This window comes from Homo sapiens, chromosome X, assembly GCF_000001405.40.
Source record: "Homo sapiens chromosome X, GRCh38.p14 Primary Assembly".
Classification (NCBI taxonomy): domain Eukaryota; kingdom Metazoa; phylum Chordata; class Mammalia; order Primates; family Hominidae; genus Homo; species Homo sapiens.
In genome coordinates, this window is record NC_000023.11 from 83,859,665 (window position 1) to 83,886,948 (window position 27,284).

The following is a 27,284-nucleotide window of genomic DNA, read 5'->3' on the forward strand; positions in this document are numbered from 1 at the left end:
TTCTGTGGTGGAGTGAAGCCTGGGACCACCTATTTTGGCATCTTGCTGATGTCACTCTACTTGTAGAAATGTTTAAATGCAAAATATTATATGCAGAAAAATTACCTATAATTATTAGCATTTTTATGTGTTTACATCAATTTTTACAATAAATTTATTTGCTTTATATGATATATATCAAACTGCATGAATAGTTTTATGTTCCATTTTTTCAAGTAAATGTTAAGTATATGATGATGAGCAAAATGAACATGATTCCTACTGTCATGAAAATATAGGATTTACTGAAACCATTCCGTAGTTTCGAACATTTAGAGTATTTCTAGATTTTAATATTTATGTAGAACTGTAATTAATGCCTTTGTGCTAAATATTAATTTACTTAGGAATGAATTTACTCTGCCAGAGGAGTGAAATTACATTTTTATGGCTTTTAACTCATAGTTAATATTCCTTTCAAATACATAATAGTGGTTCACTTTTACTTAGAAATTAAATGGCCTTATATTACCTTCCTTAAGATAATGCTATTTGACTAGCTTGTGAAATTAGTTTGTTCAATGAAAAAGTTATGAGATATACTGCTTTGTACTGCTCAGGTAAAAATTATCTTGGTGTCTTGGATCACATTTTTTTCATTAAAAGATAAAATATCATTATTATATAAGAAATATAAACTTACAAAAATGAAATAAAAATTCAATGACAAAAAGTGGTGAAAAATAAAAACTAATGAATTGCTTTTTCTCCTGTGGCTAGAAATATGGTCACTGTTATCTAAAACACATATGGGCAATTTTACCTGTATACATTCCTACCTGCCCAGAAAGGTTTTTTATCTATAATGAATAATTCACATTTATGGGTTTTATATACCAAGTAGCTGTTTATAACTTGTTCTAACACAACTCTGTGCATAATAAGAGTTGTTTTAAGCTTTGGGTGAAAAGTTTTTTTCAGATTTGTCAATAGTAGTTTAATAGATAGTTTACTTTTGCTGAATTTACATATCCAAGAATAAGACATCTTCAAGTTATTTTATGGAAATACCACTATAAATGTACAAAAAGGTTGTAGAGGAGAAAAGCCTAAAAGTGAAGAAAATGTAGTAAGCTACCACTGCTCTTTTTAGAGGAAAACTTATATTCTTCTATTTTCCTTTCAGCACATATATCTCTTACACACACAAATATACACACATAAACACATCTTTGTGCACACATGCACATTCAAAGTTAGTGTTAAAATAGGCTGATATGAAATAATTAAATATTTAATAAACCAAACAGGTAGATTCAATTAATGAATACTGACTAATTCAGTTCAAGTTTTAAAAAGTGGAGTGTGAACACATCCACAATTTAAAAATAGGTTTCAAAAACACCTGTGCACTTTAAAATATGACTACTCTGTCCCTTTTAAATTTCTTTTATTTACAATCCCTTTATGATGTCATCACTCAACATTACCAGTTTCAACTTACTATGCTCAAGTCCAGGCAACGTACAGGCAGGGGAAATGTCTCTTCCAAGGTTGTAAGTCCTCTTTTTAATATTTTTTTAGTATTTTAAATAGCCAATATGCTCAATTTAGTTACAAATGTATATGTTTAACTGTAAAGAATGTTTCTTTCATAGTCGTTTTATTTATGAATTAGAACTTGTATTTTAAACAGAGATATGAAATTTTCAATAATATCTTAGATGTTTTGCTTTGAAATTTCACTAGTGCAGTCTTGTTTACAAAATACCTGCGAATCTTGACTGTTTGATCTCTCTGAGTCTCAGTTTCTTATAACTACATCTTGTTTTAGGAATCATGGAAAGAATAAACTTATGTGAAAGCACTTTAAAATGTAAAGCAGGATACAATGTAGTAAGACTTTGTATGCTAGTTTGGTAAACTTAATTGTATGTGTAGGCAAAATTAGACCATTCTATTTTTCTGATAAATACATTATTATGTCCAAGAAAGTGCAGTAAGTTTATTTTTTAAAGACTTCATTAAGTAGAAGATAAAGTATTATTCATATGGAATTAAACAGTTTTCTGAAGTCTTTAGTTGCTGTAGTGTTGTTTTTTATTTTAAAAGTCAATTTCCTCTTAAAGAATATTTCTGAAAGTAGTTTAAAAATTAAGATAATGTAAGCCATGCTAACTTACACCTACCAGATAATATCCCATATATATTAAATTGAACTATATGAGATTGCTTATATTAAACTATTTTGACCTACAAAAATGGAAATTTCTCATGGTACAACCTAATAAAAAACACTTGTAAAGTCTATGAAAAAAATTCAATTAATGTGGAATAAAAATATGGGTATATGACCAGGCAATTTATAGGAAAAAATCTTAATTGCCAGTAAACTTTAAAAAGTGCACAAATTCGAAATAAAAAGAAAATTTAGAAAATATTTCACTCAGAAATTCAAATTTTGGAGAATTATTCCCTAGAAAGGAATTGCAGACATTTTCCCTCTTTAAATGATACATGTCTGTAATGTTCATATTTTTTTCTATTAGTGTGTATTACTTTTAGAAAATGAAAATTCAATAAGTTTGAAAGAAAGAAAAAGAGTGGGCCGGGCACTGTGGCTCACGCCTGTAATCCCAGCACTTTGGGAGGCCGAGGCGGGTGGATCACGAAGTCAGGAGATCGAGACCATCCTGGCGAACACGGTGAAACCCCGTCTCTACTAAAAATACAAAAAAAAAAAAAAAAAATCAGCCGGGCGTGGTGGCAGGCGCCTGTAGTCCCAGCTACTCGGGAGGCTGAGGCAGGAGAATGGCATGAACCTGGGGGGCGGAGCTTGCAGTGAGCAGAGATCGCGCCACTGCACTCCCGCCTGGGCGACAGAGCGAGACTCCGTCTCAAAAAAAAAGAAAAGAAAAGAAAAGAAAAAGAGTGATTTGATCTAGAAATTAAAATTGAGCTCCCCAAAGTGAGCGTCTCAAATCACTAGCGCTTTTACAAAGACATTTCTAATTTGATTCTGCCTACATCTGATCTTCCCTCTTAGATCACAAAGACCTTAGGTTTATGTCACCATTAGGCATTATCTCTTTGAAACTCACTGTCATCAGCAACACCCTCTATGTCCTCCTCTGACTCCAATCTGAATGATAACTCTGTCCTCTTGCTGTATCTGAAACCCAACTCTCTCTCAAATTCATTGCTTTTCCTGCAGCCTTCAAGAGGGGGTGATGTTTTCCTTCCTACATCCTCTCCTACCACTGAACCCAAAAATGCAATAAAGTCTGCTTTATTCCTCAATGCTATTTCCAGGTCATTCTCCTTTCTTACTTCCAAAAATAGCCAACTTTGAATCTCATGTCATCAACTTATATCACCTGTGACCTTTCCTTGTATTCATCACCTGACTCCTAGTACTCTACTTCATTTTGTGATGATTTTCCGTCTGGCTATCACTTTCTCCAAAAGTACCTTTGTCTTAATTCCTAGTAATTTTACTATTAGGTGATCAATCTCATATCTAACATTTTAATTATTTGACTTTCTCTTCTCCAGTTATTTTGTCTTACATCCTACTTTAGTGGTTTACTACTGCACATATCCCTCCAAAATCTCAAATTCAAACATTTCACTCTCCAACTGATATGTCAGGTACCTCTAATAACCCCATTCCAACAACTCTACCTCTAAGACTGATCATTGATTCTACTACCTTTTCCCTGTTCCTTGCTAATGACCTTTCTGTGGCTTTTCTTCTGTTGCCCACCATAAATCCTTACCTATCTTAGATTTTTACAGGCTCATGGTGAATTAGCACAAATATTTCCTTGCATACATCCTCAGTTCCCTTTATCCCACTCTATTTTTTGACATCTTTGCTGAAAAAAACACTTAATTTTTAGTAAATTTAAACCTCTAATCATGCCACACACCTTTGCAAGATAAATGAGCATGAGAAAAAAAATGTGTAACCATAATAATTATCTTCAATTTAAATATAAAATGACAAACTTCAAGTGGGCCATTAATGCTACCTGGCAATTACATTTCTCCACCAGAAAATATAATAGTCTGCATTCATCTTTACCCCAACACCACACCTTCAGTCCTGTTAGAGCAGATGCTTTCTTCTTGCTGCATTTAACTCCTCTAACTGGGCATGCTAGTTTCCTAAGGCTACTGTAAGAAACTACCAGAAACTGATTGGCTAAAACCATCATATATTGTCTCACAATTCTGGAGACTACGAGTCCAAGATCAAGGTGTCAGCAGGATTGGTTTACTCCAGAGGTTCTAAGGGAGACTCTGTTCCGTGCCTCTCTCTCCTAGTCTGACTGTTCCTGGTATTGTGTGGCTTGTAGATGCATTACACCAATATCTGCCTTCATCATCACATGGCATCCACGTTTTGTCTATGTCTGTTTCTCCCTTTGTTCTTATAAGAAAAAGATTTCCTTTTCTTATAAGAACACTAGTCACTTAGATTAGGGCACAACTTAATTCAGTATGATCTCATCTTTATTTGATTACATCTGCAAAGATCCAATTCCAAATAAAGTAATATTCACAAGTACCAGATGTTAGAACTTAAATATAAATTTGGGGGACATAATTCGACTCATAACACAGGATTGGATTTTGTTCACTATTTATGCATATAGCTTTTTTGTTAACTCATATTCTTCCATATCATCATTTTTTCTTAACTCTTTGTAGATTTTGTCCCATCAGTGTTCAAAAAAAGTAGTAACTCCTACCACTTAAAAATCCCTTTTCCACTTAAAAAATCCCTTTTCCTTCACAGCCTCTTCCAGCTCCCACCCCATTTTCTGTCAGCTTTATATAGAAAAACTTCCCAAAATAATTATTCATATTATCTCTACTTCCTTTTCTCCAATTAACAATCTCTTTTTAAACTAGATTTTAATTGAAAAATTGAATGCATATATATGGTGGATAATTCAAAAAGAACAAAAGGAGAGTTGGCAAAATTCATTCTCCTATACTAGATTCCCAGACCCATTACTGGAGATAATCACTATTACTAGTTTCTTTTCTCTCCCAAACTTATTTCAGATTTTTGTCCTTACCATTCCATGGAATGGCTTTCACATTTACAATTCCACTAGCAGCACTTGATACAACTGAGCCCCTTCATGAAATATTCTTCTCTTGGTTATCATGTCACTCTGCTTTCTTGGTTTTCCTTCTATCATATTATCTATTCCTTCTCAGCTTCTGTTGCTGGTTTCTCTTTACCTCTTCAGTCTTTAAATGTTGAATAGCCTAAAAACTTAGATCTTGGACCTCTTTTTTTCTTATCTGCACACATTTAGTATACAATATCATCCATTCCAATGATTTTATATGCCATCTAAATGCTGATGAATTCTAAATTTATATCTCTGTTCCAGACCACACCTCTAATTTTCAGATTTATATGTACAACTAATTTATTGACAATTCCACTTTGATGTGTAATAGATATCTCAAACTTAATATGTGCAAAACAAAATTCTTGTTTTATACCCCTTCTAAACCTGCTCATCCATAAGTATTCTGCATCTCAGAAATTGGCACTACTATTCACTCAGTTGTTTAAGCAAACATAAACATGCATACACACACACACACACACGCACCAACATAGCTTTGGCATCATCCTCGATTGCCCTCTTTCTCTAGCAGTGAACATCCAGTACATCACCAAATCCTATAGGGCTTACCTTTAAAATATATCTAGAATTTAGTCTCAACATCAGTTCTGCCACCAACTCTAAACCATTTTGATCTCTTATTTAGATTATTGCAAAAACCTCTGTGCATGTTACCTTGATTAGTTTCATATTGCCTCTGTAACAAATTACCATATACTTTGTGGATTCAAATGATAGAAATTTAATCTCTTACATTTCTGGAAGACATAAGTACAAAATGAGTCATTCAGAGCTAAAATCAAGTTATTGGAAGGGCTGATTCTTTCTGAAGGCATCAGAAGCTATTGTATTCCTTGCCTTTTTTAGCTTCTTGTGGCTGCTAGCATGTCTTGGTTTTTGACTGCATCATTCTAATCTCTGCAATGTTGTCATATTGCATTTCTTCTGTAATCAAATCTTCTTTTACCTATTTCTTATATGCACAATTGTCATAACACTGAGGACCCACCTGGATAATCTAAGATTTTAATCGCACCTGCAAATTGTCATTTGCCATGTACGGTAAGATTCAAAACTTCCAGGGATTAGAAAATTGTATCTTTAGGGTATATTATTCAGCCTACCACAGTCTGTCTTGAACCCCAAATATTCATGTCTATCCCACATGCAAATACAGTCACTCAAAACTAAACTAACATCTACAAAACTATCACCTCATTTCGGTATTAACTCAAGTCCAACATCATATCCAAATATCATCAGCTCTAAAGTCCCAGTTGCTATAGTGTAAATCATCTAAATCAGATATAGTGAGATTCTGTAAGTGTTCCATCCTGGGGTGAAATTACCCTATATCTGTAGAACTGTAAAATTAAAAAACACATTTTCTGCTCCAAAAATACAATGATTGAACATGGATAGAATAACAATCATAGACATTTTAACTCCATAAAATGGGAAAATAAAAGAAAAATGGAATCATTGGCCTCAAGCAATTTCTAAGTCAAACTGAGTAAACTCTGTTAGATATCAATGTCTGTGAATCATCTACTGCGGCTTGAGATTCCACTACCTTGGCCCATGGCTCCACCCCTGGGCTTTCAGCTCTATCCTCAGAGTTAGCCATCATTTTTCTTAAAGTATAGCACATGTTTGCAACTGAGTCACTCTGCCAGCCTGATTCCTGCCTGTATAGATTTGTCCGTTTAATTCTTTCATCCTTCCTCTCTCTGTCCATTTGCATCCCAAACTCTCAGTGTTTCTGCTGGTATAACATTCTCAGAAACTCATGCTTCTCTTGTGTATATTATGAGGATTCCAGCCATTAAAAAAAAGGTTCCTCCACAGATGTTTGTACACAAAATATTTTATATATTTAGTCTATATTCCTGGCTTTTGCTGAGATGGTTGATCACATCCATAAGTCACATGCTTTATCTTCCAACACTAGCAAAATATTGTCCAGCCCCACTCAGCATTCTCTCTGGAGAACACTTCCCTGACAGTGAACCTTAATTTATCATCTTTTAAAATCTGCATAAAGTGAGAATTTCCTAAATAATTAAGTCCTGGTGATTGTTTGCATAGCAATTCTTTCCTTAATTATATTTATTTTCCTTCTTATTTTACTATAGGCAGCAAGAAGAAACTGCATTATACATTCAATGCTTTCCTTGAAAATCTCCTCAACTGAATATCCAAGTTCATTACTCAAGTTATGTTCTTCACATAACTGTAGAACACAGTTCAGCTGTTTCTGCCACTATACAGCTGGAATTATCTTTCACCCAGTCTTCAATAACATGTTTTTCACTACCTCCTGAATTCTTACCAGCAACATCTTTAAAATCCATATTTCATCAAGTCTTTTTATGATGATTTACGTATTCTCAAAGATGATTTAGGCTTTCTTCTACAATGTTCCTCACTTTCTCTGAGTTCTGACCAACAAAGTCTTCAACAACCATATTTTCTAGCAGTTTTATTCAAGGCAGTCAAGGCTTTTTCTATCACACTCCTCAAAATTATTTTAATCTCTTCCCAATGCCAAGTTCCAAAACCACTTCTACATCTTTAAATATATGTTACAGCAACAACCACTCCTGGTACCAACATTTGTATTAATTTTCTATTGTTGTTGTGGAAAATTGTCACAAACATAGTAGCCTAAACAACATAGTTTTACAGTTCTGGATGTCAAAAACCTAAAATCTATTTCACTGGGCTAAAATCAAGGTGTTAGCAAGGCTGGTTTCTTCTAAACTCTGAGGGGAAAATCTATTTCTTTGCCATTTTTAGCTTCCAGTGGCTGCTCATAATTTTTGACTAGCCCCCATTCTTCCTCCTTCAGAGTGCACCACTCCAGTCTCTGCTTTCATAATCACTTTGCCTTCTCCTCCTCTGATCCTCTTTCCTTCCTCTTGTAATAATTTTGGTGATTACATTTTGTGCCCTCTTGAACAATCCAGAATAACCTTCCAGTATCAAGATTCTCAACTGAACCACTTATGCAAAGTCCCTTTTGTCATATAAGATAACATGCAAAGGTCCTAGAAATTAAAATACGGATATTTTTTATTATTCAGCCTTCAATAATACTTAATGTTTAATTGTTGAATGAAAAATTTAGAGAAAACTACAGCATAATTTCTTGTCTAAGTTTGAGGATTAAATTCATTTGATTATCAGGAAATAAAGTTTAAAGAAAAATGATGAATTAAACATAAATGGTGCAAAAACAATAGGACAAGAAGAAAGTTATGTTTATAAATAGTAGATTTGAAGTAGAGAGTGCATAAACTGAAAAGGAATAAAATATTTTAAGAGCAGGATTTCACTCCAGATCAAATCAAGCAAATATAATTATTCAACTATATTAAAAAATTGCAAATTTGAAAGTTTATTATGAACACTGAAACACTATAAAAGCACAATGAAAATATTACCTATTATTCATATTGTTGTCATAACCATGCTATTTCTCTAAAGAATCTTTGTCATGATGTTCAAAGAAATGTGTATTTTCTTCTATTTAGTTATTTATTTTCTATTTCCATTATTAGAGGAGGAAAAACTGGTACAGTTTGTAATAACTAGATAACGGGAGCTCAATATATCACTATATTTCATTATGGTTATAGATTTTATGCCCAGTTTAATAAATATGTGTCTACTCTACTATCATTAAGATATTCTCCTCTGTTACCTCCTAGAAGTTTTATTATTTTACAGTTCAGCTTTAGGTCTTCAGTCTATCTGAGACTGATTCTGGTGCTTATTGTGAAATGGTGGTCAAGAATCACACTTTTCCCCTTGTAGATACTTAATTGATTAAAATCATTTATTGAAAACACCATGTTTCCCCAGCGCATGAAAACTTTGGTATAATTTGTGTGACTTTATCTATATAGGTCTCTTATTTTGCTTTCTATTCCACATAATTAGTTATGTTTCTTTGTATCTATATTCCATTATCTTAATTACTGTCACTTTAAAATAACTTGGTATATTAATATGTGGCATTATATATCTTTCACGTTATTTTACTTCCAAATTGTCTTGTATATTCTCGAATCCTTTATTTCCATATAAAAGCTAGAATCACTAGACAGTAATCACAAAAACATTTAAAAATTATTGGGATTGCATTGAATTAATACTTGAATTTGAAAATAATTGCTACATTTTGTATTACTGAGCCTTTCACACTCTAACATGGTATATATTTCTATTTGTGTATTTTTTAAAATTTTATCTTAAAAGTTTCTACTGTTCAGTATAAAGCTATTATACATATATATTTTTATATTTATTTCTGGGTATTTGCTATTTTTTATTTGATTTCATAAATGGTATTATTAAAATATTTTCTAAATGTTTTTTCACTGGTATATAGAAAGGTAATTATAGTTTATCTTTTTGTTAAATTTTAAAGCTCAGGAGTACATGTGCACATTTGGTATATAGGTAAACTTGTGTCATGGGGGTTCACTGTACAGATTATTTAATCACTCAGGTATTAAGCCTGGTACCCATTAGTTATTTTTTATGATCCTCTCCTTCCTCCCACCCTCCACCCTCTGATAGACCCCAATGTGTGTTGTTCCATTCTATGTGTCCATGTGTTCTCATCATTCAGCTCCCATTCATAAGTAAGATCATGGTGGTGTTTGGTTTTCTGTTCCTGCTCTAGTATGCTGAGGATAATAGCTTCCAACTCCATCCATAGCCCTGCAAAGGACATGATCTCATTCATTTTTATGGCTGCATAGTACTCCATAGTGGATATGTACCACAATTGGTTTATAATAGGGAGATTAATACGAATTAAAGGTAGACATTCTTTAAAAATGGAGATAAGAGAATGAATAAAATTTTTTGAAGTGTTGCAATTGAAGAATTTGTTATAATAATGAGTGACAATAAGACAGTTCCAAATCACTGATTAAACATAGCATTGGGCTTTGTTTTTTTAGAAATAAAGGATAGATTACATAAAAAAATAGTTATTTTTATTTATTGCCCATAATACAAATTTAATTAAAGCATTTTCTTCTTTTAATAGGCTAAAAGTAAACATCAGAACATATGATAATTCCATTCCAAGTAAGAATTTAGTTAATGAAGTTTAATATTTCTTAGATTGGAAAACAATTTTAGGAACTAATGACAAGTATATTCCATTAAATGTGATAAAGCAGAAACTGCTATGAATTTTTATAAAAATTTTATAAAAGCATGTATGCATGATATTTATATATGTATGTTGGTAGGTGTGTATGTGTGTGTATATCTCTGGCCTTGATGTAGATTTGCACTCACTGGTTTTGAAGAAAGATTTATTTAGTTTGTTCTCCTTCATAATACAAACCAATTTTACTTGTATAAGATTCCCTTGTGTTTAGAATTCATAATTACAGTAAAGAAGGCAAATATAGTCAGAGAGATGAAAACAGTTAATGAACAGCCCATTTGTTAAACAGCTGCAACTTTAGGAACGTTTACGTTAATATACTGAGCTGAAGTCTGCCTGCACTGCTATAAATATTACCCATTGGTTCTAGCCCACCCCTCAGGATACATATAAAAGAAGCCTATAACAATGTGATTAAGAGCATGGGCTCTGGGGCCAAAGTACCTGTGTTCAAATCAACTCTGCTACTTACTAGCTTTAAATAATAAATAATTAATAAGCTAGCAATTAATTTAACCTCTCCCTCTCTCTGTGCTTTATTTTTCCATATCTGTAAAATGGAGACAATTACATTATCTAATTCAAAGCATTGTTGTAAAGATTAAACAAGTTTACTAAAATGCTTAGAACACAGTCTGGCACATAGTAAACACTACATAAGTGTTAGTGGTTGCAGCTATGCTGTTATTACTATGACTACTTTTTGCCAATGTAGCAGCTCTTTAAAAATCTAAATATAGTAACCGTATCTCTGGTTAGTCTCTCCATCTCCAAGAGAGCTATGTTGAGTTTCGTTACCAGTTCCACTTTTGACATAGTTTTCAGATAGTTTGATCTTCCTGATCACCCTATTCTTGTCCTCAAGTATGTATATGGCCTTCTTTAAATAGAATCCCCAAAATGGAATGCAGTATTTCCACCTAGGGCCCTAATTCCTGTGGTTCGGGATGCCACTGAGGTCAGAGAGGTGCTAAAAGAAACACTCAGATGTAATCAATCAAGACTTTTACTGACTGTTGTCAACACCGTGCTAGTTATTATGAAGACTATAGCAGAAGTTATATTGTCTGCAATCTAACTAAAGTGACATAAAGAAAAAAAAACAGGATAGACGAGATGATGTAGATATTTTCAAGGAAACAGTAAATCTCTATTTTCTATTCCTACTGTCTGATTATATAATTTTACCATCATGATTTAAATATCTGTGAAAATTAGTTTAATGTAGAAAATAAAATTACAAATTTCATTTTAAATAAAATTCAATGATAAATAAGAAAAATGGTTTTTATTTTCTCTGATTGCTATGCAAATAAACTAGGAACTCTGAGGAAAAAATCTATATTTTAATGTATAACTTAGTTTAATTTAAATAATATGTTTCTTACTCAAGAATAATTCAGGTCTGTGGAAAATCTGACATTAACTCCAAATTGTTTATTATCCTTTCTCATTTAGTCAGTGAATCAAGCAGAAAATCATGGAATCAAAAACACTTTGCTTTGACATTTCCCAAACCACTCCAGAGAGGTACAAATGATAAATCAAGACCTTTGAAATCACAAATAACAGTTACTGTAAGTATAGAAAAAGTCATTTTTAAAAACGAAATCTAAGTTGGTAAAGCATATATAAATATAAGTAAGGCCTATATAACTTGAATTTTACTACCTGTTGGAAGATATTTTTAAATTTGTAATTCTCTGTACAACAGACTGCCCCTACCTGCTTTAGATTAAGCTCATATTTGTACATAATTATCCACATCAAAGACATTATCTAAGCAAGCTGGAGAACCTAATACTGCACCTGGCAAGTTCTATCAGGACATGTTTACCAGCTGCAAAAAGCAGCTAAAATTTAAATATTAGAGCAGAAACTGATCTTGATGAGGTTTCAAGGCCTCCTTATTTTACAAAATATGAAATTCAGAGACGATATTAAGAGATTCAAGTTTTCTACTGTTTCTCTAAAGTCGAGTTATCCTATCAATTAGCAAAAGGAAAAATAAGCATATATAGGTCACCTATTATGATATCAAACAATTTTTAAAGCATCTCCCAGAGCAAAGTTACAGTCAATGCATTTATTCAAGGGTCATTTATTACATTTTTAGTGATCCAACTTTCATGTTTCTCTTCAGGTCATCTTTTAATTCCATATTACCATTTGCTTGTTGGCACCTCTACTGAATAATTGAGGGAAAATAAGAAGTAATTTTAAAATCAGTCTTTATGGTTATTTATGACTACAAGATTTGGCAAATATTTGGGTGAGATTTGAAAATAAATTACACCACTGCTGCACAAGTTAATGTGAATCAAGCATCTGTTTATTTCATTCAGTTTATGCCTTTGTTTCTTTTTTTTGTGCAGTGCAGTTGGGGTCACAGACTCTCAATTTGACAAGACACTTTAAAAGCAGGAGTAGAAATTAGGCTAGGGTTTTACAACTATTACAGGAACTGTCATAACAAACTTCAAGTGGATCAGTTTATTTCTGATTTAACTTGGGGATAAACAGTGTTCAATATTTTCCAAAAGATTCTCCCCATATAGAAGTCCCAAAAGCCTACTGTTGGTATTTGAGGACAAGTCCTGGAATGTCATGAGTCACTGTGGGCCTGCTCTAATCTCAATATGAATCATTAATGGAATCATAAAATTCCCACTAAAGTCATTTTATTTCCAAAGTGGAGTTATATGTCTCTTTCTGTCTCTCTCTTACACACACACACACACACACACACACACACACACACAGACACAACCTTGAAAGAGAAAAAAACTAAGTTTAAATAGATGGTTAATAAAAATATAAACTTTTTTATGTTTCAATATAGAAAGATAAAACTCATTCACAAATGCTTATTATTCTAACCAATCTTTTCAGAGACATGACAAAAGAAAACTAGAAGAAGGCCAGAAACCAGCTCATAAATGGATAAGGCATTCTTTCAGAAAAATTTTGCAATGGCCACCCATTTACACAGCTGCCAGGGAACAGACTCCATTCAGACATCTTTATACTTCCAAAACCCATCTTAAAAAAGCAGAATATAAAAAGTCCAAAGATGAAAAAGGAGGAACACCTTTGAAGAAAGATTCCAAGAAAAAAGGAGGTTCATATGCAACAAATCCAGAATCCAAGCAAATAGTAGAAGAGAAAACTAAAAGACAAAATGAGGCAGATAAAACTCCCTTAAAATCATCACATGAAAATGAACAATCCAAGAAGTCAAAATCCAGTTCAGAAACTAATCCAGAATCCCAAAATTCTAAGACAGTCTCAAAAAATTGTTCACAAAAAGATAAGAAAGATTCAAAGAATTCCAAGAAGACAAACACTGAATTCCTACATACAAAGAACAATCCAAAGAAAGATTTGAAGAGGTCAAAGACTAGTAATGATCCCATATCAGAGATTTGCTCAGAAAATAGTTTAAATGTTGATTTCCTCATGTTAGTGGGACAGTCTGATGATGAATCCATAAATTTTGATGCATGGTTAAGGAATTACTCACAGAATAATTCAAAGAATTATTCTTTGAAGTATACAAAGTATACAAAGAAGGACACAAAAAAGAATGCAAAGAAAAGCTCTGATGCTGAATCTGAAGACTCAAAGGATGCTAAGAAAGATTCAAAGAAAGTTAAGAAAAATGTCAAGAAAGATGACAAGAAAAAGGATGTAAAGAAGGACACAGAGTCTACTGATGCTGAATCTGGAGACTCAAAGGATGAAAGGAAAGATACAAAGAAGGATAAGAAAAAATTAAAGAAAGATGACAAGAAAAAGGACACAAAGAAGTACCCAGAGTCTACTGATACTGAATCAGGAGATGCAAAGGATGCAAGAAATGATTCAAGAAATTTGAAGAAAGCTTCAAAGAATGATGACAAGAAAAAGGATGCAAAGAAAATTACATTCTCTACTGATTCTGAATCTGAACTGGAGTCAAAGGAGAGTCAGAAAGATGAAAAAAAGGATAAAAAAGATTCAAAGACAGATAATAAAAAGTCTGTCAAGAATGATGAAGAGTCTACTGATGCTGACTCTGAACCGAAGGGAGATTCAAAAAAGGGTAAAAAGGATGAAAAGAAGGGGAAGAAAGATTCAAAGAAAGATGACAAAAAGAAGGATGCAAAGAAAAATGCAGAATCTACTGAAATGGAATCTGATTTGGAGTTAAAGAAGGACAAGAAACACTCAAAGGAAAAGAAAGGTTCAAAGAAAGATATCAAGAAGGATGCAAGAAAGGACACAGAGTCTACTGATGCTGAATTTGATGAATCTTCCAAGACAGGCTTTAAAACATCTACAAAAATCAAAGGTTCAGATACTGAATCTGAAGAGTCACTATATAAACCTGGGGCTAAGAAGAAAATTGATGAATCAGATGGCACATCTGCAAATTCAAAGATGGAAGGACTGGAATCAAAGAGAGGATTCAGAATGTCATCCAAAAAGACTACATTCAATGAAAAAGGGGAAAAAGCAAGTACAGGTAGAGTTCCTCCATCAAGAGAAAAACCACCACTCCCTGCTTGTGAGCCTTCTCTACCATCACCAAAGGTCAGACGTCTTTGTTGGTGCAAGATGCCTCCTCCACCTCCAAAACCAAGATATGCTCCTTTGGTAAGTTTACTACTGTTTTATATTTAGGCTGAAATGGATATAAAATGAAAGACTTTTTAAAGTTTGAATTTATGTTTTCTCCAAATAATAGTTATCTTTTACTAGAATATTGACAACTTTGTGACTCGAAGGTAAGAAAAATAAAGAATACCTCACAAGGATGCAAAATACTGCAAAAAGTTATAAATTTAAGAGAATAGAAATTATTTGGACTAGAGAAGAGAGAAATGACTTGTGATTTAAGAAAACGTGAAGTTATGTATAAAGAAGGTCATTTTGCAAAAAAAAAAGTGGTTAAGTTTTATACTTGGAAAAGAACAAAAATGAAAATTGACTAAAACTTCTACAGGGGCAGATTTAAGCGAGATATAAAGACATTTCCTGAGAAGTTGCTGAATACAGTAAAAGCTAGATTAACCAAAATTCATACATAGCAGGTGGAATACATGCCAAGATTCAACTGTGCAAAAAAATTAAATTATTTAATCCATATCTCAAGTGGATTTTTTATGAGCCCTCATTATAACTGATATCAGGAAACAAAAGTTAACTTTTCAGAAATAACTATATCTTCTCTAATTTATAAACCTCATGTTAACTTTATCTATTTGGAGGTAAATACTCTGTCAACTTAAAGCTACTACTTCTCTCATCCAGGAGTCTTTCCCTTCAATCCCTTCCCCAATAGTCTGATTGTAAGGGAAAGCATAAATAGACATATTACATTAGACAGAGGAGTTCTGGATTAGTTCTCACACTGCTGATAAAGATATACCTGAAACTGAGAAATTTACAGAAGAAAGAGGTTTAATTAGACTCACAGTTCCACATTTCTGGGGAGGTCTCTCAATCATGGCAAAAGGCAAGGAGGAGCAAGTCACATCTTACTTGGATGGCAGCAGGCAAAGAGAGCTTGTGCAGAGAAACTCCCGTTTTTAAAACCATCAGATCTTTTGAGACTCATTCACTATCACAAGAACTGTGTAGGAAAGACCTGCCCCCATAATTCAATCACTTTCCACTGGGCTCCTCCCACGACATGTGTGAATTGTGGAGGTTACAATTCAAGATGAGATTTGGGTGGGGACACAGCCAAACCATATCAAGTCCCTATTCTACATGTTTCCTCCCTTTCTGTCTCTATGATTTTTGGTTGGGTGTAACTCATTTACATGATTTCTGGGCATCAATCTTTGTTTCCTATGCTTGCATGGTATTCATTGTTTATTCTAAGCATCGTAGGACTGCTGCCCTCTGACCTGTTAAACTCACGGCTTCTGTAGATACAGCTAGTTCTTGACCCTAAACTTCTCATTTTTATTAATTTCCTCCTCCCTTTCTTCTCCTCATTTCTCCCCCTTGTCACCTTCTTGTTCTTCTAACTCAAGAAATTTATATTTCCTCTTTTAGGCTCAGAGAGATCTATTTTATCTTATATTCCAAATATTTTCTATCTTTGGTTTATAATAAAACTTTACATATGTACATCAATTTACTTCTCATATATTAATATTTTTTGGAAGATAAAAACATCTTTTATCACTCTCAGAAAGCCTGGGTTTCAAGTCTAGCTTTCTCCCAGCAGACCCCAAAACTCTGCTTTGAGACTCAAAGTTGATTAATGACCCCCTTGCTCTAGGTGATATCTTCTTTCTCCACCAGATTGAGTTAATGGATGGCTAACCACTAGTGTGACAATACTTATAAGAAATAAAAGTACACTGGGGAATAATTTTTAAGATAAGTAAGAAGAAAGACTCTCAAATAGCTAGACTCTTTTCCACAGGCAGTTTTTAGGAAAAGTAAATAAAATATAAGAAAAAAATTGAATACAAGGATTAATTTTAATTAAAAAATTATCTTTCAGGGTATGTTCTAGGCTTGTACAATTCATGCCAAGTCTCTTTAATAAACTTCCATATGCTTTGCCACCATTCAGTTAGGCTTTTCTGTCTCTACTACTCCACTGAAACTTTTCCTTTAAAGGTTACCAAATACCTTCTTGTGGCCATATCTATAGGCTTTTCCTCCCTCCTCATCTTATTTCATAATTCAACAGCATTTAAACTAACCTTTCTGTCTGGAAATACTTCCATTACTTCACTTCTATGACTGTGCTCTCCTGTTTTTATTTCTACATACTGGTAGATTTTAACCACCTTTATTGTATCCTTCTCTGCCTCATTATTAAAAATTGGAATGATCCTGTCTTTGTCCTGGACACTCTTTATTTACAGTCCTCCCTTTGTGAGTATATAGCGTTAAATGGCTTTAAATATTATCTATGTATTGATGATTCCAAAATTAATATCTCCAGTTATGACCTTCTAATTGAGCTCCAAAATCTCTCCACTTGAAATCTCCACTATAGTATCTACTGGGCATCTCATACTTAAAATGTTTAAATAATATTTTTAACCCCACACTAAATTCTATTCCTCCCTTAGCTGTCTTCATCTTATCAGATGGCACCACCATCCAGCCAGTTGATTTTTTTAAGCCTGGACATAATCTCCTTCTCACTTCTTTTTCTCACCCTACACAGGTAATCCATCAGCAAGACTTGTTTACTCTACCTCCAAAATATGTCCTGACTGAATCCACTTTCCTTATCTCCATTACTACCACCTTCGTTGCTCCAGTCATCACCATCATTAGCATCTAGCTATCCATTAACTCATTATGTTGCCCAGGCTGGTCTTGAACTCCTGGGCTCAAGCAATCTTCCAGCCTTGGCTTCCCAAAGTGCTGGGATTGTAGGTGTAAGCCACCATGTCTGGCAGAATAAAATTTCTTACCCTAGCTTCCAGTGTCTACAATCTTTAGCCCCTACCCATTTTTCACCATAATCATGTAGCACTTCTTCTCTTTTCTCTTGTCATCTAGCCAAACTGGCATTCTTTTTGTTTCTCATAAACACCAAGATTGTTTTCTTGCAAAGCCTTCTCATGTGCTGTTTCCTCTGATTGGAATATTCCTCCCACAGATCTTTGCATGTCTATTCCTTTTCATTATTTAGTTTTTCAGCTTAAGTGTTCTCTTTAGAGAAGCCTTCCCTGACTACCTTACTTTATGTTACCCTCTCATCCACCACTATGCAGTCACCCTCCGAACACTGCATCATACATTATTTGGCTTCACTGAATTTATATTTATATAAAATTATATTTTATTCATTTGTTTGTTAATTATATTCAACATCAGAATTCAGGTTCTATGCAGGCAGTGAATCTAGCCTGTTTTTTCATATATATATATATATATACAAATATATATAAATATATATATATATATAAATATAAATATATATATTTGTATATAAATATAAATATATATATTTGTATATAAATATAAATATATATATTTGTATATAAATATATATATAAAAATATATATATTTGTATATAAATATAAATATATATATTTGTATATAAATATATATATAAAAATATATATATTTGTATATAAATATAAATATATATATTTGTATATAAATATATATATAAAAATATATATTTGTATATAAATATATATATAAAATATATATATTTGTATATAAATATATATATAAATATATATAAATATATATATAAATATATATAAATATATATAAATATATAAATATATATATAAATATATAAATATATATAAATATATAAATATATATATATAAATATATAAATATATATAAATATATAAATATATATATAAATATATAAATATATATAAATATATATAAATATATATATAAATATATATAAATATATATAAATATATATAAATATATATAAATATATATATAAATATATATAAATATATATAAATATATATAAATATATATATAAATATATATAAATATATATATATTTTCATACATGTCCACAGATTCAAAAACAGCAGCTATATATATGAAAATATATATTTTAATATATGTCCACAGATTCAAAAACAGCACCTATGTTATATTTAGTTGGTTGAGAATTTGGTCCCTCTAAAGAGCTACATATCACAGTAGGAGACATTCGGATATCCCTTTTTCCAAGCATTTTTCCTCTAGATATGTCATTAAAACAAGTATTTTTTTAAGTGAGGGTAGTCACAAAAATGCACTTTATATTCTAATTGGATGTCTGGAAGAGAATACCTATGTATCCTGCTCAATTGTGTATGGGGAACTTATGAACAAACTTTGTTATTGAATCTTATGGAGTTTTCTCCTTCCTTTTTTTTTTTTTTAATATGGGCTTGAAGAATGATGGCTTTTCTCCTTTTCTCCTCCACTGGAGTCCTAGTGATTCTCACAGTAGCACATAAGCACGTAAGAACCACATAAGCAGTGCTGTGTTTCAGGGTCAGCACTGTTTACACTCCTGGATTAAGATTATTTACATTTGATATTATGTTTATAAATCTTAGCAATATTCTCAAACGTAAGTGAAGAATTCTTTATATTCCAGATGCTAAGGTAGAAAAGTAGGGTGTTATGTTTAGGGTGTTTTGTTTTCCATTCTGTATGTGTATATATAATCTTTATTAACAAAAATACAAATACAACAACAGAAACAATATAAAATACGTAAAGAAAAGCTAATCATTTAGATCCTCATGTCCACTTTCTGATGCCAAATCCCCCTATTTTCTCATCTTCTAGAGGTAAACAATGTTAGCAGCCTGGGGTCCATTTTTCTCTCTTACACCATTTCCTTGTACAAGCAAATGTAAGGAGGGAGAGAGAGAGGGAGAGAGAATTACATAATTTGTTTTGACCAAAATACAATCATGCACATGCAGTAAAGTACAACTTATTTTCTCACTTGACAATATCATGGTCATCCATATAAGTCGTTAGACATACATCTATTGTTATTGTTCTTATTTCCAACTTGCTTGTGAAAACACACACAGAATTTTGTGTCAATACCATACATTGTGATTTGTTTTCCTTCCATCTTTTATTTTTGCTTATCTCTCTACTTCTCATTCCCACTTTCACCCATCGCTTTTTTTCTCCTTTCTAGGTAACACTTATCAACAACTTACTATGTTTCATTCCATACGTCTTTCTAAGGTTCACTTTACCATATCAAACATTCAAACACACACAGACACATACACACACACACATGCACACAGTGGTAGCATCTGGCAGCAGAAGAGAAAGTGTATGGCAGCTGGGAGCAGGAGGAAGTGAGGTTTTCTTATTGTTTTATTTTAAAATAAAGAAATAATACATCTTTGCATCTTGGTCAGCAATAGTTGTTACAGCTCCTCCTAACTTTTGCCATTCTAATGGATGCATAATGATATCTCATTGGTACTTTAATTTGCATTCTCCTAAATGCTAGTTTGTTTAAATATCTTTTGAATGTTTGTCGTGCCATACGTTTGATCTTTTGAGAATTATTTCTTTGTATTCTTTGTCCATTTTTCACATGGGTTATTTGTATGTTTCTTGCATTTATTAAAGTATCTTTGCATATTATAGGTATTACTCCTTCATCTGTCTTCCTTGTTGTATTTTCCCTAGCTTTCATGTCTATTAATTATTTTGCAGTGTATTTTGCTGTGCACAAATACTAAATTTTTACATAATCAAATACGTCTATAATTTATTTGGTTGTTTCTTGGCTGTCCGTATTAGTGAAAATTATCTTCTCCACAGAGTAGTTTTTAACAGGGACTAAAACAAAAACTAGTCCTTAGTAAATAATAAACTGTCATCGATGTCCAAATTGAGCATTGTGACAATCAAGGTTTTATTGCACTGAAATGAGTTAACAAAGGAGATGTCTTAATGTCTTTCCCAAAAGAATTAAATACATTATTTGAAAAATCAGAAGTCCCATGCAAGTTGTATAATCTAGTGGCTACTGCATACAGCTTTGGAGTCAAATAATTTGGATTTAAATCCTTGCTCTATCACTTACTAGCAGGATACTTTTCCCCAAAAGTATCTTAATCACTTGAAATATTAAGTGATTTCTTTCTTAATCACTTGAAATATTATTTTTTCTCAAGTATAAAATGGGATATTAATAAGACCTTCCCTATAGGAAAATGAAACATGTAAGATGTTTAGTATATTATCTGCTATTTTATTATGCACATTCAGGGAGCACCACTCCTATCAACATCCCTCAAATAACAATGCATGTGGCTTTTAATTTCATCCAGGTTATATGAGCACAATGTAAAAGAAACCAACGTATTAGAACATGTTTAGTTCAACAAATAAACCAATCAATATTTTTAACTGCCACCCTCTCCTCAATAAAATTAATTAATTGATAGCATATTTCATTTTCCAGGAGGAATTATCATTTTCTGAGCATGCAGAGGTTACATGACATTATGCTCAATACTGGGCAATTGATTAAAAAGCTTATCTTTCAATTTCTATAGTTAATTAGGAGTCAAAAGAAGACAGACTAAATAATCAGAAAACCCAAACTAAGGAGACTACAAGTTGATTCACTGTTGCTATTCAAGGAAAGTGGGTGTTGTTGTTGTTGTTGTTGTTGTTGTTGTTTTGTATTAAACTGGAAAGCACTTCAAGGAAGTACTTATTTCAGGTGAAATCAGTCAAAACGCAAATTGAAGTAAAACACATAAGAACCGTCGAACTTGGTTCACTTTATACTTTTTATTTTTTTCTGGGACACATGTTCCTTCATAATAAAATAAAGCAAGTAAATCCCTCTCTTATTCTGGGCCTGATTTCTCATCTCTAAAATGAAAAATTGAACTAGGTGAGCTGTAATTTCAAATTGTATGGCTAGCATAGTGGGATGAATTTGTCATTTCTTAGTTGTGCCTGCCTGAAAGATATCGGTCATATGTCTGCCCATAACAGTGATGGACTACGGATAGAATATGAGGCTAACTAGATAGTAGAAGTGACTGACACACTAGAGCACAAAAAAAATAATGGTAACATTGGACGGAGATTATTACCACAAGAAATTATTCTTAGGAGGATTCATGAATTATTGGGTACCACTGATTTCTAAAGGTTTTTGAAACATTTTCGAGATCTTTGTACAATATATAATCATGATTCTGGAGGTAATTTATTTTTGAAACTGTCATTACCTGATTTTTTTTTTTTTTTGAGACAGAGTCTCGCGCGATCTCGGCTCACTGCAACCTCCACCTCCCAGTTTCAAGCGATTCTCCTGCCTCAGCCTCCCGTGTAGCTGGGACTATAGGTGCCCACCACCACGCCCAGCTAATTTTTTGTATTTTTAGTAGAGACGGGATTTCACCGTGTTAGCCAGGATGGTTTCGATCTCCTGACTTCGTGATCTGCCCACCTCAGCCTCCCAAAGTGCTGGGATTACAGGCGTGAGCCACCGCGCCTGGTCACCTGATTTTATCTATTGAAAAGAATACTGGAGTTGTTTTAATTTGAAGCCATCCCACTGTATTTGATAAAGTTACAGTCAAGTACCAGTGTAACTGAATGCCCCAGACAGACAGAAAGATATAAGTGCCTACTGATATGTTTCTGTTTTTATTTCCTCTGCTGGTTATTTCCATATCTCTGAATAATATATTTATATGACTACTTCTCAATTTTACACATTTTCCATTGGTTTTCTTCCATAAAAGATAAAGATATAGGTTGTGTACATCATCCTCTCTTCTTCTCTCTAATTGAGTCCTACATTTGTTTTTAATATATTTGCCAATTACCTTTATAACATTAAATATTATATTTGTAACCTTTTTCCTACCCTTTTTCCCTACTTTTCTCTTCTGTTCTTCATTTCTGTACCTTTTCTTTAGTTCTTTTTTAAAAAGTGCTCTTTTAATAGTTCCCTGCAATGACCTTTCACTGAATATTATGGTCTTGTCTGTACCTACATTAACTTGTAATCTCTTGCCTTTATAAAAACTATCTCTTCCCTTAACTTCCCTGAGTTTCTACTATTGTGGTTTTCTTTCTTGCTACTACTTTTCTTTTTCCTCTCCTACTACTGTTTCCATATCTTCAATTCTTACACTTCTTCCTCTTCCTACATCCAACTCAAAGTTGTTTTCTATGGCTCAGTTATTAGACCTCAACTCTTCTCTATATACTCTGGGAGCATTAGTCTACCACTATGGCTTAAATTTTCACTTCTTTGTAGACATTTCAAACTGTATATCCCTAGACTATTTTCTCATCCTAAATTTTGTCTATTAGCTCCTATATTCAAACACTTTCTAAGCTCCAAGAGATCAGAAAAAAATGAATTTTTTAAATTTCATTTTTAATTTAAATTTAATCCACCATTGGGGCCTTTTCTGTTATTCTGGTAAAGTCATTTGCAAATGAGAAATATAGTACCTAACCTACCCATTATAACAAATTGTTCTTAGGTTCAAATATTAAAAAAAGGTGTGAAAGGGTTTTATAAATGACAAATCATTATACAAATGTAAGACTTTATTACTACTATTACTGCCTTATGCCTTCATTTATATTGCCCCTCTTTTTTCTTGCAATTGGTTTCTCCTTCTTCTCCAGTTGTCTTCTTCAAAGCTTGACTTTCCCTCAAAACACTGTAACACTTATATTGCTCTCTATTTGTTGGGTTGATATTAATATTGTGTTCTAATTCTTTCCAACTACTGTCACACTCAGAGTATCATTCTGCATGTAGAAGATAATTAACAACTATTTGTTGACTGATTAACTTAAAAGTTTGGTAATAAGTTGAAAGTTTATATTTGGAATTTTGTCATATTTAGGAGAATTATCAATCTTTATTACTATGTTTTATCTATCAATAAATATTCCTTGAGCAAATATTCCGTGTCAGGCACTGTTCAAATCAATGAAGATATAAAATGCATATCTATTTCTTTCAAGGAAGTTAAAGTTTTCACCTAGGGAATAAAAATTCTAGCAGCTTTTGTTTTAGTTGTCCTCTCTAAATAAAATAACCTTCTCTGAAAATAGGAACACTCAAAATATTATACAAAACCAAGAAGCTTTACATTCTTTTCTCATCTATGTAATTTACTCAGTTATTATTATGGTTGTGCATTGTATCTATCTTCTGCTAAAAAGTAAGCTGCATGATGACAAAGCTCTTTAATTTGTTTACTAATGTATTTGAAATTCCCAAGAAAGTGGGCACTCAATATTTGCTGAAAAATTGAATGTGGCATTTGTTAGAGGACTACCAAAAAATGAATGAAAGAATTTCTTGGCAGTTGTATAAACACAGCTGGAGCTAGGTAATATCAAATTTAAGTATGTTCAGTTCATAAATTTTTTATTCATACCACAAAGCTGAAGTAATATTTCAGCTTGGTTATATAAGATAAGCAAGATTTTGACAGAGACAATGGAGAAGTTTATATTCAAAAATTACCAACTAATTAAAAGCAGAACCAGGCTGTGAAATTATATTATGAGATGCAATATTATAGCATGATGCCTAAGGGTGAAACTAACTGAAGGAGAAAACAGTTTACAGCCTAGAAGCCAGTCAAAGTGGATGGTGGGAGAAAGAGTTGGCAAGTGGCATGATAAGCATGATGACAGGCTAAGGAAAATAAAAGCAGCAGAGAATATTGTGATGCCTCTTCACAACAAGTTTTTTTTAGAAGAATGTTATTCATGTTCTTAGCCTACTTTTTGATGACATTGTTTGGTTTTTTCCTTGTTGATTTGTTTGAATTTGGTGTAGATTCTAGATATTGTTCCTTTGTCAGATATATAGATTATGAAGAATCTCTCCCACTCTGTGGGTTGTTTGTTTACTCTGCTAACTGTTCCTTTTGCCATGCAAAAGCTCTGTAGTTTAATTAAGTCCCAGCTATTTGTCTTTGTTTTTATTTCATTTGCTTTTGGGATCTTGGTCATAAATCCTTGCCTAAGCCCAATGTCTAGAAGGGTATTTCCAATGTTGTCTTCTGGAATGTTTATAGTCTCACAAATAACCACTAAAGAACTTACTCATGTAACCAAACACCACCTGTTCCCCAATAACATATGGAAATAAAAAATAAAATAAAAAACAAACACTAAATTATAAAATAGGTGGGAGGAATTTCTGGTTTGTTCTATGATATGATAACATTTTTATGCATTTTTAAATTGCATGCACTTTGCTAACAATTTTTTTTCCTATTTTTTAACTGTGTTACTGTGTTGCTACTTTGCTGTGCCCAAGCATAGAGACTCCTTCATCACCAGCTGTGAGATTTGGTGTCTTCTCATTGACCTCTGACTGTCAATAATAATTTCTAATTCCAAACTCTGTCTTTCTTAGAAAATGTCTTATTTTCTAGACATTACCCAAACTCTTTCCTATATGGAAAAAAATTCTACCAGCTACTACCATTCTCTGAGCTATGAATCTAATTCCTCACTAAGGTATTAAGTTTAATTTTGGTTACTCTTTCCATAATAACTATGGTTTAATCGAGGCCTCTAAAGATCTTAAACTCAAAATCTAAATGAATGAATTTTAAATGTTTGAATTTGGGGTAATGTGAAATGTTCTAGAATGTGACATTTCTAGTGCCTCTCCCAAATCACAATATACAGGTAGAAGTTATTCCACATATATTTAAGGATAAAACAAGCCAACATTTTCTTTCAATTATTTGGGATACATAATGATATAGAAAAAAAGAATGAACTGTGAATCAAGAGTGCTATGATAAGACATATTTCTGAGAATGAAAACAAGATCTGTATAATAAAAAAATCAAGAAATAGAAATAGATAATTTATACAGGAGGAAATAAATATGAGGCAAAATCATAAAAATATATTGACGATGATTAGTAATCAGAGCAACCCCAAGAGATCATTTTGCACCTAGTAATGCGACTATTATATATATATAAATCTTATGTATATTAACTATATCAATACATAAAATATAATTTTTATATGTGTTGTATATATAAGATATATCTTACAACTGTTGAAGCTTCAGTGACAGCAGTACATTTATTCACTGCTGACTTCAGAAGGGGACCAATATAAACCAGCTTAACTTTCCTCTGGGCCTATATGGGAATATGTAGGAAGAGTCATAAATGATAAAATAATATTTGACTCAATAATCCCACTGCTATAAATATAATAAAAATTTTTCAGAAGAAAATAAGAAGAAAAAACAAACTATGCATAAAGAGCATGATTGCAATACTGTCTATAAGAGAAAAACTTTGGTATAAATGTATAATATATAAAACTATGTATACTTATAAATTAATGTATATAATATATTTGTATAATGTATAAAATTAGAGGGGGGTTAGTAAGATCTGAAACAGATTAGTATGCATTCATTGAAATAATAATGATGGAGCCTAGGAAATTAGAGGGAAAAGTTTGTACTATAAGGCTAAGAGAAATAAGCAAGAAAAAATACTATGGGATTGCAACTAAACAGAAATCTTCATTTTTGTGGATAAAAAGTATGCATTAATATGCAAATTCGAAAATAATTGTGTTAGTGTGGTGTAATTTGGGGTGAATACAAGATATTTTAAATGCATTTTCATTTTTTACATTATATTTTTATTTTTAAAAGTTCTAATCCATTAATGTAGTTGTGAAAGTTTAGGCTAATGGTGTAACATTGCTGGGCCTTGGCTCCTGTACAAACACTGATGATTGGACTACCATTCAGTACTTCTCACTCTTTAGTGTCCATTAAGATTATTCAGGGAGCTTGTTGAATGTGCATACTGCTAGACTATATCTTCCCAGATTTTGACTTGGTAGGTCTGGGGTGGAGACCAGGGATCTGCGTTTTTAATAAGAAATAATAAAAATGATATCCAAGTTCCCTTTCAACTATGACAGTCTGTGCTTTCGTGTGATCCTTAACACATCATAGTTGTCTTGATTAATAGACAAATAAAGCCTTTCTTTTTATTTGCATTTTTCTACTTTGCTCCTCAGCCTGAAGCACCGTGGATTCATAAGCTGCTTTAAAGAACAACTGAGCACTTGGTTTCACAGAATGGCCTTACCACAGTAAGCACCACCTACTCTCAAATGAGCATTTCTACCTCTGTGGAACTGAAATAAAAACAAGTCTTCCATGAGTATCAAGAGTTGCTTTTTTGCATATAATTTACAGAAGTGATTTATAGACATGTTTTTTATTATTTATCAAATGTCTCAATTATTCATACCAAAATAATTTAGCATTTTACCCCATGTTCTCAAGCTTCAGTCTGGAAACTATTTCTGAGTTTGGGTTCAAATGTACTCTGCTTCAATACTCTTACCATATTTCATTAAATTTCTCTTTTACTTAGCATTCAAAATAAAAGTAAATAGAGAATGAAAGGGA

General features: G+C 32.4%; 1 protein-coding gene across 3 annotated transcripts; it reads left to right on the forward strand.

Moving 5' to 3' along the window:
- The first annotated feature begins 1,481 nt into the window (after nucleotides 1–1,481).
- On the forward strand, nucleotides 1,482–27,034 carry CYLC1 (cylicin 1). 3 transcript variants are annotated; one of them, NM_021118.3, is made up of 5 exons: nucleotides 1,482–1,535; nucleotides 10,201–10,241; nucleotides 11,788–11,906; nucleotides 13,222–14,967; nucleotides 26,888–27,034. In NM_021118.3, the coding sequence occupies exons 1-5, from the start codon at nucleotides 1,519–1,521 to the stop codon at nucleotides 26,918–26,920; spliced, it is 1,956 nt and encodes a 651-aa protein (NP_066941.1). In that variant the 5' UTR covers nucleotides 1,482–1,518; the 3' UTR covers nucleotides 26,921–27,034. The 3 variants fall into 3 exon arrangements, with proteins under 3 accessions (NP_066941.1, XP_005262143.1, NP_001258609.1); XM_005262086.5 differs by having other exon boundaries at nucleotides 1,482–1,532; NM_001271680.2 differs by lacking the exon at nucleotides 13,222–14,967 and having other exon boundaries at nucleotides 1,482–1,532.
- The last annotated feature ends 250 nt before the right edge of the window (nucleotides 27,035–27,284 follow it).

What these genes read in the sequence shown, in the direction of transcription:
- CYLC1 (NM_021118.3), top strand. An exon ending in AATCACAAATAACAGTTACT is followed by an intron (nt 11,907 to 13,221) that starts GTAAGTATAGAA and finishes CAATCTTTTCAG; the next exon opens with AGACATGACAAAAGAAAACT. An exon ending in AACCAAGATATGCTCCTTTG is followed by an intron (nt 14,968 to 26,887) that starts GTAAGTTTACTA and finishes TTTGCTCCTCAG; the next exon opens with CCTGAAGCACCGTGGATTCA.